Below are 13,426 nucleotides of genomic sequence, written 5' to 3'. Positions count from 1 at the left end.
TACTTTAGGGGGCACCCAAGCCCACTAACACTGTGGTTCTTGCAGACTCATAGAGGTACCACCTTGATGATCTGGATTATCAGGCACAAACTCTTGTTCTGTTTTTTTACTTTCTCCCAAACATACAGCGACTTTTTCTCTGTTCTGAGCCACCTAAAGCTGGGGGTGGAGTGACACAAGCACCCCTGTGACCACCATTACTATGACTGTGCTGGGTCAAACCTGAAGCCAGCACAGCACTGGGTGTCACCCAAGGCCTGCTGTAACCACTCCCTGACTACTGCCTATGTTTACTCAAGGCCCTGGGGCTCTACAATCAGCAGGTGGCAAAGCCAGCCAGGTTTGTGTCCTTCCCTTCAGGATGGAGAGGTCCCCCAGGCCCTGGATGGGTCCAGCAGTGCTGTCTGGGAGTCAGGGACTAGAGTCAAAACACTTAGAAGTCCACCTTGTGTTCTATTGTGCTGCTGCTAAGCTGGCATTCAAACCACAAGATGCAGTTAGCAGGCGATGAATACTCCCAGGACAGGGCCCTTCCCTTCTGGCCCAGAGTGTGTCTAGAAATGTCACCTGGGAGCTGGGCCTCGAACGTCGGCCTCACAACTCTGATTGATGCCCTATCCTGCTATGGCTGACCTGGTATCCTAGATGTAAGAAAAAGTCCTCCCAACTCTTCCCACTCCTCTCCTGAAGTGAAAGGAAGGGGTCTCTTTTGGAGCCACAAGCTATGCAGCCTGGGATTAAAGGAGGAATGATGCCAACACTCCCTTGACTGCCCCAGCTGGTGTCGCAGTATGTCGCATGCACCCCCAGTTCACTGTCTCTGGTCCTAGTTCAGCACTAGGACTTGCCCTAGAGTTGCAGTCCTTATGGCCTAGCCTTTCAAGTTTAGTTGGAGACACAATGTGCTATAGCTCTTGGTGGCAAGGTTTGCAGGCACTCAAGTTGAGACCACTGGGATCCACGATTCCCTTCTGGCTAGGGCTGCTGTTAATTATCCCTCTGTGGGTGGGCGTCACCTGAGTTAGCTCTGATTTTTCTTTCTGCTGTAACAGAACAACACTGAGTTCAGTGCCTCACAATTGCTGTGTTCTCACTCTCCCAGCATCCAGAGATGCTCTCTGCACCATACAGCTGCTGGCGGGGTGGGGGAGGGGTGGCATCACCAATTCAGGACTGTTTTTTCTATCTGCAGAGCATCTTTCAGTGATATGAAGTTAAAACCAGGTACTATGAGTGCTCACCTGATTTTTGGTTCTTGTGAAGGTGCTTTTTCTGTGTAGACATTTGTGCGGATGGCCATCAAAGGAGCTTGCTATTCTGCCATCTTGCTCCACTTCACCTCTGTACTTTACTAAGGCAGCCCTAGAAAACCAATAGAGATACTAAGGTGGATGTTCATTAACTCGCTAAATATTTAGATGGTCTATAACACTCTAAGCACTGCACTAAAACAGGCATAGAATGATGAGATGCCTCAGCCCCTGTTCTCAAGGAACTCATGGCCAGAGTTTAGTGGTCAAAAGCAAACAGAATATCTCTTTTTATCACAATATTTGAGGTCAAGTAGAGGACAAACATCATTGTCCCACTTGTAAAGATAAAGAATAAAGGAAGGGAGTTTAAGTGACTTTTGAAACAGAACATCACAAAGGTGGATTGAACTTTTCTCAATTTACCAAGGAAAAAATAGTTTCATTTATAAGTTAAGGGTAAGGGACAGTGAGAGTAGAAAGCCTCTTTTTAAGCTAGGGGTCATTTTACATATTACATAATGTGTGAAACATTGAAGTCTAAACATTTGTCTCACTCTGCCATTCTCATACTCCAACCTCATTTATATCTATTTGTTCCTCTCTTTACTGGTAGTGTGCTTGTAAGATATTATGATGGTGGGCTCAACAACAACGGGGATAAGAACAGAATTGCATTGCATAACTATGAAGAAGACCCTAGTATGATGATCATTAAAAAGTATTTTAGGTGCAGAGAACATATAGTATTGAATTATTTCTTTAAGTAATTGGATTATTTGCCACTTTTACTCTCAGCTGTGAGAAATAATCGGCAGTGTTTGAAATGACACCATCTCTGCAGGACTGTCAATAATTATATAGGCTGTCTGGTGATTTTGCCAAGTTTTATGATGATTCCCATGAAGACAAATACAAGATTCATATTAAAGGGATGTTTTATGCTGTGCAAAAATTGACCCTGAATGACCTTTAATATAAACAGTTAGGGTATGGTATGGACTCCAAAAAAATCTCTCTGCTTTATTGTAAATGTATGCTAACATAAACGACACTATAAGATACTAGCATTAGGATAGCAATTTGATTTGTGTGTCTTTCAAGCACCCTTTTTCTTTTTGTAGAACATATCAAATACTTATTTATCCATTAGAGGGCAGTCTTCCACAAATTTTAATTCTGACATCACTTGGAAAATTTAAATGGTCAATTTACTGACACAATAGTCTCTCAAAAGCCTTAGAATTTTTTCATTATTTCAAAAATTATTTATTCATAATTTTGAAGACACTACACATTAAGTCTTCATATAGAATGTAAATTCCAAGAGCACATTACATATGTTTGTTCATTTATGTGGTATTTGTGGTAAGTGATCACAAATGTACAAAATATTTGCACCATTAAGCTGATACTGATAAGGCTATGTAATAAAATGTTAAGGCTTCAATTATTTTTTGGGCTTTGGAAACTCTTTCTTGTCTTCAGATTTTTACTGGTCCATCTAAATATTTTATCTTTTTTTATTTTTCTGTATTCTAGGCACAGAGAGAGCAGCCTACAACTCTCTGTAGTACAGTATTATCAAACCAAAGAAAACTAATGCATAAGGAAGGTTCTAGAAGGAAACATTCACTGATGTAGTGATGACCTCCAGACAGAAGTATGTTTAAGGAAAGGTAAAGGAAAACTTGCACTATTAGCTTTCCATATTTTTGTAGTTTGAATTTGATATAACAAGAATATGTTTGTATAAAATGATGAACCGAGTGGCATCTTTCATTTCAAAAATGTTATTACTTCAGTTAAACCTTATAGCTCTCTTTTCATCCCAAAGAAATTGTTATAAAGGTATTTTTGAGGGAAACATTCTGTATACAATCACAGATATTGGATTTAGAAGCAGAAGACAAAGAATAAAATAAATGTTGGCATTTGGGAATTTTTACTATTGGTATTGTTAAGTAGTTTGGGGGATTTTACAATTTAAAGATAGTAAGTCTCCAGTGAACAAAGATTTTCACCATTCCTAGTTCTACAAAAAAGTGTTTTTTAACCTATAATAAATTTAATACTTGGAACAGAAAATATTACAGAAATAAGAAAAACTTTACAACATAAAATTAAAGGCAAAAACTTTGACTTTTTACTCCAAGTAGAAGTTCATATGCAGATAGTTATTCAGTACTTATTCTAGATACTCAATTAAAAAGGAATTCAATTAAATAGGAACAATGATTGATTTCTGCAAGCTCCTTAATTCCATGAGGTAAATTCAAAGCACATATCCTGTCTACTCCATTGTTATGCCCTTCACCACTTCCCAAATCTTTCCACATTTTATTCATGCCCACAACCATCTTAGTTTTTGATTAGGCTTTAGGAGATGCACTAATAGGCACATCTAACCATCTGATATTTTCGCTTTCCAGATTCTATTCATGAACTTGAAAGCTGGGGGATCTTTTTTAATGACTGGAAGTAAAGAGGAGCATATGCTTTCTGAGAAGTTTCCTTTTCTAACTGAATGATTTGGTCCTCCAGACTTCTGTCTGTAATAGGGCTGAAAGAGCAAGTTCCCAAAAGTTAAGCTATCTCTGGTCAAAGACCTCAGTTATTTGGAGCATTTACAAATGGTAGCCTGGATTACTTCTAAGAAATTAATAAATAGAATATAATTCTTTTTCATATTTGTAGAGTCATCCAACAATATTAACTTCACTCTCTACTCATGTCTCAAATCTATGAGTAATGTACACTTTGTTTGTTGGGACAGAACTGGTGAGTGAAAATGGCCAAAAGGGAAATCTGTGGCTTGGGAAATTCTGTGAGTTTGATGGCTTAATAGCAGTATGAGATAACAAGTCTAGACTATATAAATTGAAATGCTATTATATGCTTTAAAACAATGGGAAGATCTGGAAAATGCATTTACCTAATTCATTTCATGCCTGTGCAAATACCAGAAAACTTATCTGCAGGATAAATGCAAATCGTAACACTCATGCATTATTATCATTATTTCCGAACGTTTGATCCTCAAAATTAATTAATTCACCCCATTAGTTTGTCTTTTTAAGCCCACAAACAACAGTCTTTAGTTTCTTCTTAATTAGGTTGGCTGGTGTGAATTGAGCCAGTTGAGTGCTGGTGTTATCCACTCAGCTGACCTGAGTTTGATATCAAAACTGTGCCAGAGTTGGGTGAGTTTCTCAAGAAAAATAAATACCTTACTTTCTGCCAGGCCACAAGGTGGGGCATTAAGAATATGTTGACATATTACATCTTGAGAAATGTACAAAAACCTAAGAACTGAGCAAGAAGAGGAAACTGAGGCCTTTTGGGGTTGACAGGTCATTGGGCTCCCTCCAATGTTCCCACTCCCACAGAACTTTTTCAAACCATGACCACTCTCAAGTTCTCCTAGTCTTGCCAGCTCTCACTCAAAGAAAATGGCCTCTCCTGTTGCTTCCTTGGGAACAGTTTTGTTGGCATGAACTCCCTCAAGTTGTCTCCTTTCCCGCTACAAACTTAACCTTATGTTTTCTAAGTCTCATCTCCTTTTTCAAAAGGAGGCCTGCCTCCACCATTTCTCTAGTCTCTCAGTATGTGATCTTCATCCCATCCTCTTCTATCCAATTACTCCTTCAGAACCTTGTTTCATCAATTATTATCCTACTTTCCCTTAACACAAGATCATATTCAAATTTTTTGCTTCAAACAAATCCCCAAACTTTCCTTGGTCACCCATATTCTTTAAAAATTGTCATCAACACATAAACATCTTACCTCTTTAAAAATCTTCTTGAGTAAGTAGCCTACATTTCCATTCTGTTATCTTGACTTCAATCTACCACCACCAGCTATGATCTTATTACTCCTGAATTTTTAATGGAAAATTACCCTTGTAATGTTTCCAATGCATAGTTGAATCAGTCCGTTCAACACTTGAAATTTCTGCAGTATCTGACCCTGACCATACCTGAAATTATGTCTGTGAATGAGTCTGTGACATCACACTCCTGCCTATTTCTCAGACTTTTTCTTTAATGGTTCCTATTTTTCTCCCAATATAGTAAACTTTAGGGTACATCAGAAGCACCTGGAACATAGGTTGCTAGATTCCAACCAAAAGTTTCTGGTTCACTAAGTCTCGGGTAGGGCCTGATAATTTGCATTTTGATTCTGATGCTGCTAGTCTAAGAGGCCCACATGTTGAGAACCACTGCTTGAAACAGATATATTCAAATTTTTTAATCTGCTTTGCTTCTATTTTATACTTTTAATTAAGAGAAACTACCTATTTCCATGCTTCATCTGTTACTTGTATAAGAATGATGCCTCCCAACTCTATGTGAAAGGCCCAATCATATCCTCTCCTAAACTCCTCACCCAGGTTGCCTACTACCTCTGCTTAAATTATAGGGACCCTCAGAATCAACATGCCCAGTATGGTACACGTTGTGTCCTACATCCCAAATGGGCTTCTCCATTTGTGCACTTATTCCTACGTATCATAGGCATCAACCCACCTGCACAAGGCAAAAAACTTGGAGTCAGCTAGACTTCCCTGGCCCTCAATCCTTTTCACCTCACATGTAATGATTCACAAGTTTTTCTTGCAAAACATGTAATGGTTACAGATAGAATCCTGTCAATTCTACCTCCAATATATTCCTCAGCTTGGGTTTTCTCCAGTTTTTCTTGTTTACTATATCACAAATGCATTCTACTTTGATTCTCTGCTTTCATTATCTCCCATCCTGTTCTAAAATTCATCTTTGTAAAATTAATATCAGATCATGTCATTTACCCCTTATTCAAAAACAAAACTTTTAATGACTCTGTATTATCTACAGTATAGAGATACAGTGACTTAGTATGACATTCAATATTCTTGATAATCTAGCCCCCACCTAACTTCATCTTATGGTTTTCCCTCTTGCTTCCTGATTTATGGTTATGCCTGACCACTACCACATCCAGAATCAATCACATAGAGTTCATTCATGTCTATATGCATGCTGGATTCTTTCCTTCTGCATGTCATCCCAATTCACCAGCATTCACCTGTCTTCTGACTCTCAGCACAATTAACTGCTTTCTCTTAGACTCTCATGCCATTTTATCCATATATCTTTTAGAGTTCATTCCACCTGGTATTATGGGCCTTTGTACATACATCAGGCTACATTGCCAGGTTAAAACTCCTTGAAGGTCTGAACTGTACATCAGTTATGTTTGTATCCATAGTGTACAGCACAGTTCTTGGCAGACTGAAGGCTTGCAAGAAATATTTAGTTGAATTGAAGCTCTGTAGTCAAAAAAACTTCATAAATTGGATAGGCAAATACCCATGAGACCTGGATTTCTAGCCAATGTGGCTGGTACTTGGATTTCCATTTCTCTTTCCACAGCATTCCCAGAGCTGGAGTAAATGCTCAAGTGCCACGGGGGTGCCCTAACTTGGATTTCCTAGTGATTAGCTCCAAGAGCATGTTCTAAACTAGTTTTGTATATTGTATTTCCTGAAGCCCTAACTCTTCAACTTCGTTTTGTCTGTTGAGATAGAACACCTGCCTGTGCTATTATGGTAGAGCCATGACGGACCATCTCTTGTGTAGTTCATAATTCTACCATAAAGACAATGTTAGCCTACCATTTACATTTCTCAAGTGACTCCACCTATCTGTGCCTCAGTCTCCTCACTTCTAAAACTGGTGTAACAACAACCTCTACCTCATAGTCTCTGGCCTGGGCTTCTCACCTAGACTCCCTGGATTCATTCTCTCCCTCTACCATTTGTGAATATTTAAATGAGTTAATTTAGATATTAAATATTAAACGAGTAAATGTATATTAGGTACTCAATAAATAGTAGGTATTTATTGTAACTATGTAAATAGTAACTATGTTAGATCTATTTTGAAACTATTCGAAGAACCAATAGCACAGAACTCCAAATATTAAAGTTTCCAGGGTGTGGACACTTTATGTTACAGTGTCTATATTTTATCTATAATCCAAGCTTACCCAACCCATGACCCAGGCACCACATGCATCTCAGATGGCTTTGAATGTGGCCCAACACAAATTTGTAAACTTTCTTAAAACGTTAAAAGACTTTTTTTGCAATTTGTTTTTTAGCTCATCAGCCATCATTAGTGTTAGCATATTTTACGTGTGACCAAAGACAATTCTTCTTTCAATGTGGCCCAAGGAAGCCAAAAGATTGAACACCCCTAATTATCATTAGAGATACAAAATTATTTTTAACAATTGGACCTGGAATCTCTGAAAATGTCTTTCAGCTCTTTAAATACTAAAAATGTGCCTTATTTGTCTTATATAAACTGACTTTCTATCCTGTACTGTTTGCTGGTACATTTCTATATACCACATACAAGAGCAACATGCTTGTATCACTTTGCAATTCCCATAATGGATATGGGGATAGCAAATGTTAATATAAGGAAAACTATGTTGGATCTTTTTTTTTCTCCTTATTAATAAAAATTGTGTTTCTCTTTAACCCACAAACATATTAAATTATCCTCTAGGAAAGAAAAACTAAAAGTAATTTAACATCGAAATCTAAAATCACTCAAACTCCTTTATCCACCCCACACAGAGCTCTTAGCGAAAATATTTTCCTATTGAAAACTTAATTTTATTCTCCATTTAGAAAATATTCAGTCATTCTTGTAGCATTCCTGGGTCTTAAGAGAGATAATTCCAAAACCCTATCCTCACTTCACCCACTGAAATTTAAGACTTAAAAGGGAATCTGAGACATCAAGAGGTTAAATGGCTTTCTCAGGACCACACACTATGTTAGGGTCATAGCTGAGGTTACAAACTGCAAGTTTTTCCATTTCTTTCTTAAGTGTTTCACAGGGCAAGCCTTCCTCTCTATTTATTTAGGTGTAGTAACTGTATTGGTCACAAGTGAGGGTTCACAGTGTGACAATCAGATATTTGAAGGATGACCTTTTAAGAAAGCATTTTGTGCCCTTTGTTTAAAGTAACACAGATACTCTCAAAATAAATCTTACTGTCCATTTGTCTAGATCTGGAAGTTTGTGTATGTCAACATAGCAGGTAACGAGCTTTGGGACATATGGACTTCTTGTTTGGTCCTTTGGGAAAATCCCTTTCTCGTGGCCATCTTGTTTTACAGTTTTGTAAGAAACCTACATTATATCTCCAAATCACATCTTGGAAAATACCTATTTACTGTTACAGAATACAACATTTGTGATATAACGAACTAGCCAGTAGCTTCCTTAGACAGGAATGTACAATTAAGTAGGTCATGCAGTGATCAACTCCATGGTGTATCATTCCCATCATAGTCTATATGAATGGTGCCCTCTGGAGTTGCCCAATGCATGACATATGTGGCCACAAACCATGGTGTTGTTTTGTTTGTTTGTTTGTTTGTTTTTGTGAAGCTGAAGGTTATCTTTATGCAATTTCCAGCTATGTCTTTGTGCTTAGCCTATGAAAGATAAAAGTACTGATTGATATTAGCCAACAAAAATGTTTAAGAAAATGTTATATAATATATAGAAGCAATTCAAATTTGCTCCTGGGTTGTTGTTTTTTTTCTTATTCTGCCTCATCTTTTATTTATCTTTTTTTTTATAATCCATTTTCTCTCTTTTCTTTTCTACTAGCACCACATCTCCATTTTGTCACTGGAGTCCTCTGTTATTTTATTATTTGTTTTTTCTTTTACTTTTCTCCCACAATTTAAAGTGGGGGGTGATGTGCCTGTATCTTATCGTAGTTCTTAATAACGAATATAGGGGTAGCAAATAATAATACGCCGAGCACAATGTTGAATTTATTTTACTCCTTATTAATAAAAATCTTATTTCTCCTTAAGCCATGAGCATATTAAATTGTCACTTGGGTAACTTAATTTTTACTTGGATTTAACTATTATGGCTCTCCCCAGCAAGTTCCTTCCTCCTTCTCTAATCCCTTTAAATTTACTTTATTACTAGTTTATCCTTGGAGTCATATAAGAGTATGAAACATCAAACCAGGGTGACATGTTTCGAGTTCCAGTGGTTCTGGATAAGTGATTCTGTGACTATGTGTCTAGATGTCCTGCAGCTTCAACTTAAAATAATGAAAGAGGTAGGTCAAAAAATTCCCAGTGCCTCTCACAATTTTGCAGATTTGTACTCATTGAATTCTCTTCTTTTTTACAAACTGCTACACAGCAAACTATTTGTGATTTAAGGAAATGCTGTCTGATATGCACTGGCTTCTCAATTCTACTTTGACCAATAATCTAAGTTATAGTAAGCACTTCAGGTTAGCCCTATAAAATTATAAGAAATGACCATTCTCCAGAAAAGCTGTGTGGTAAGCTAAAATATGAGCTGACGCTAGTCAGTGACAAAGGAGTCCAATTCCATTATCATCATCATCATCATCATCATCATTATTCTCAGCATTTTTCCTTTTCTTACTAGCTATCACATATGACTTAAGCTAAGTTTATCTCCTAATCCGTAAAATGAAGATGATATATAATGCACAGGATTTGTAAAAGACTGAAATGAAACAACATACATGATTGCATTGACACTGGGTAAGCATTCAACATATTTTAGCATTCCTTCAGTGCTTTTGACAACTCAAAGTAAAAAACAAAACAAAACAAAAATACCTAACACACAGATCAAAGTATTTTGAGGGACTAAAGTTAAACAATATTAGCTTTACTAAGGGGTGTGACTTATCTCCGGAGTCAAAAGTCATAGCATGATTTAATTGATTCATTAGTTGGCAGTCAGTCCAAAGATCTTTGAGAAGCTGGGGATACACTTCGTTCTGAGTGACACCTGAAATCGCTACCATGCTGCACAATGTGAAGCCCTGTTCCATGTCTGCCCAGCATGTGACATAGTGTCTGCAGGGTGTCTAGGGTTCTCTGGCAGGACTTAAAAATTGGCATGGAAACAGTAGTAAGCGTGAATGTGCGTGCCTAAACAAGTCTTGTATCTATTTCTCAAAATATTCTGAGATAGTCTGTAAGAGCAGTTGAAGTTCTTCTCAAAATGAATGATAGTTCAAGACATATTTAAAAAGTAATTTGTTTCACTTGTTGAGCAAATGCAAAGGATCGCCTGACAAAAAAGTCACAGATTACAAACAAAAAATTTAGGAAAGCAATCTGCTTTACAGATTTCCAAGGAAATAAATAACTCATAGGTTAAGTGTAAATCTATTGAACAAACAATTTTGAAGGGTTTTAACTCCTCTTGTTGACCTTAGATAAAATAATCACTTAGATGTCCTGACATAGCAATGATAAAATAAGAATCATTTTTAAAAACTAGGTGTTAAAGTTTGAGAGAACATGCTTTAGGAACATTCCATTATTTAACTCACTGTGTGTGAGGCCGTGTCTAATAAAAAGTATATCCCTATATCAATTCCTCTTCTTTCTGTTGCAATTAGCACTCCAGCCATGTCCAAGTGTCTTTAAAAATAAAGGGAATTATCTTGGCCTATCTTAATGAAAAGTGTTCAGGCTTCAGGTTTGATCTGTTAGCTCAATGATATCACCAAAAATCTGGTTTCTCTCCCCCCATTTATAGGCTCATATTTCTTGGTGGTGGCTTCATTCTCAGGTTGGGTACCCCTTGTGGACTTCTAGAGAAGTATTGACTAAAAGCTCTGTGTGATTTAAAGAAATGCTGTCTAATAAAAAGCTCCTGATGTTAAATACTTCCTCATTCATTTCCAGTGTAAAATGAGAATGTCTACTTCCCAGATCCCTCAATCTCAAATCCCCACATTGAGTCTCCCAGCCCTCATTGGCCTGGTTTGTGTATGTGCCTACCCCTGAACCATTACAGTCAGGAATATGAATTATGAGGATTGGTCTAAGTCAGTCTGGACTAAATAGAGTTAGGAGTATGGCATATCCTTGGCAAACTACACAGTTAGGAAATTCAGAGCAAAGGCAAGAAAGAGGGAGTGGAAAAGGATGAGGTGAACGTAAACCACAAATATCTACCATAGTGATTCCCCCAAGCTTTTTAGAATCTAGTGAGGCCAATGAAAGAAAAGAAAGCTAATAATGCTAGACCTCTTTTATCTGAAAAATGAATAGTTCTTTAGACTATCCTGGTTAGAAGAGGCACTTTGAATCTCAATATTGTCATCATTCATGTAGGATTTAAAATAAAGACTTTCTGGATCTTTCTCACTTGCCCTATGTACCTTGAGTTTCTTAGGCCCTGGGAAGAGTATGTTCTGACTCTGAATTGAAAGATCAAGTTCCATTCAATCAGTCACCCTCCCTAAGAGACAGGGGAGTGGAAGTAATCAGTCAACAAATGATTTTGTAGGATATAAATACATTACCTGTAAACTCGTATTTTTTACCATATAGATGGATTTTCTATTATTTATATATAACAAATAACAATAATATAACCTGCCCTGCTCTTTTCCTCATAATTTAGAAATGATCTTGTTCCATCCTTAAATGTAATTAATTGCTTTTCAGAAAATGACTCATATGATTTACTCACTTTAAGCCTTCTTTCATTAATTCACTCAATGGATACTCTTTGAGTATATATGATAATCTAATACCACAATTATACCAGAGTTTATTGCTGCTACACCCTGCTACTCTCACACACCCAAAAGAAGAGAGTGAGGCACAGAAAGGTAATGTTGTGTTTGTTGTGTTATTTAAACCATTTATACTGTCCATATCCAGACTTGAATTCTAAAATACAAAAAAATGTAAAGAAAATTGAGGAGACAAAAAGGATGCTTTCAATTAGGTTGGATTTTTTTCTTTTGTATTTTGTTTATTTGTTTACCCTATGGCCCACATTTTTCCAGTTCTTTTCATAATTCATCACAAATGCATTACTTAAAAAAATTTAAAGTTTTTTATTATATTCTACCCAAAGTTCCACATTCATATTTTCTGTTCCCCTGCTCCCATAGCAATTTAGGATTTCAGGGAGGAAAAGAGATCATGTAGAAATAAATTGGAAGTGAACGACTTTGATAAATTTAGAAACCCACATTTTTTTGGTATCAGTTTTGATTTTTCTTTCTAAATAATTAGCAGGATTCAGCCTGGCTTTCATCGACAAAATTATCTCCAGGACAAGCCATATTCATTTCGGAAAATAGCTTCATTTTGCATTTACTTGATATTGTATCTCTCAGCCCATCAAACCTGATTCTTGGATGTTTCTGTGCTAAGCTGCTCACATTACTCATAACCATGTTAAGTGGGCAGGCAGCAATATTCAAAATCAAGTACTCTTCTAGCTGTATAAACTTGGTCAAGTCTGAACATTTCTAAACCTTGGTGCTGTGAAATGGTAGTGATGATAAATAGTCCACAAGAATTTTGTGATGAGAGAATAAAATAATGCACACAAGGAACTCAGCAGGGTTCTCTGCACAGAGGAAGAGGCTGCTGACATGTTAGCTATTGCTGAGAGGTCGTTTTTTTTTCCAGAAAGCATTCTTCTAGAGAAGCTCCCCTTTCTTTTTGGAGGTAACAAAGCCCCTGCATACTATAAATCTTTAAAACTTGCTAAGTTTTGTTTCCTAATAACATAGAGACTGTGATTATTTATGCTTTTAGCAAAATTTGTAGCAAATTATGATGTTTTATATTCATCCTAATGTCTCACTATCTAGTGAGGTCTAGACAGCTTTTTTTTTTTTTTTTTTTTTTTGGAGACGGAGTCTCGCTCTGTCGCCCAGGCTGGAGTGCAGTGGCGCAATCTCGGATCACTGCAAGCTCCGCCTCCCGGGTTCACGCCATTCTCCTGCCTCAGCCTCCCAAGTAGCTGGGACTACAGGCGCCCGCCACTACGCCCGGCTAATTTTTTGTATTTTTAGTAGAGACGGGGTTTCACCGTTTTAGCCGGGATGGTCTCGATCTCCTGACCTCGTGATCCGCCCGCCTCGGCCTCCCAAAGTGCTGGGACTACAGGCGTGAGCCACCGCGCCCGGCCTAGACAGCTTTTGAGTGAAGTGAACATTGGTTTGTGAAGCTTGATACAGTAATTCAAGACCATTGTCTCCACTGGTGCCAAGAACTGAAGAACTTCCACATTTCTGCTTAACTTTCTGCAGCAGAGACAAGAGATTTGATGTCTGGACATTCT

The 13,426-nt window shown here is 37.4% G+C and overlaps 1 long non-coding RNA gene across 1 annotated transcript in view; it reads right to left on the bottom strand.

Annotated features, from left to right (window-relative positions):
- Positions 1-13,426, bottom strand: part of LOC105379168 (uncharacterized) — a 273,909-nt gene that overhangs the window by 88,824 nt on the left and 171,659 nt on the right. The window contains exon 5 of the long non-coding RNA XR_001742460.1: positions 1,242-1,362. This is a non-coding gene — a long non-coding RNA (uncharacterized LOC105379168). The remainder of the gene's footprint in view (positions 1-1,241; positions 1,363-13,426) is intronic.

The sequence above is a fragment of the Homo sapiens genome, chromosome 5 (genome assembly GCF_000001405.40).
Source record: "Homo sapiens chromosome 5, GRCh38.p14 Primary Assembly".
Taxonomy (NCBI): domain Eukaryota; kingdom Metazoa; phylum Chordata; class Mammalia; order Primates; family Hominidae; genus Homo; species Homo sapiens.
The sequence above is the reverse complement of the archived record's forward strand: the minus strand, read 5'-3'. Positions and strand labels throughout refer to the sequence as shown.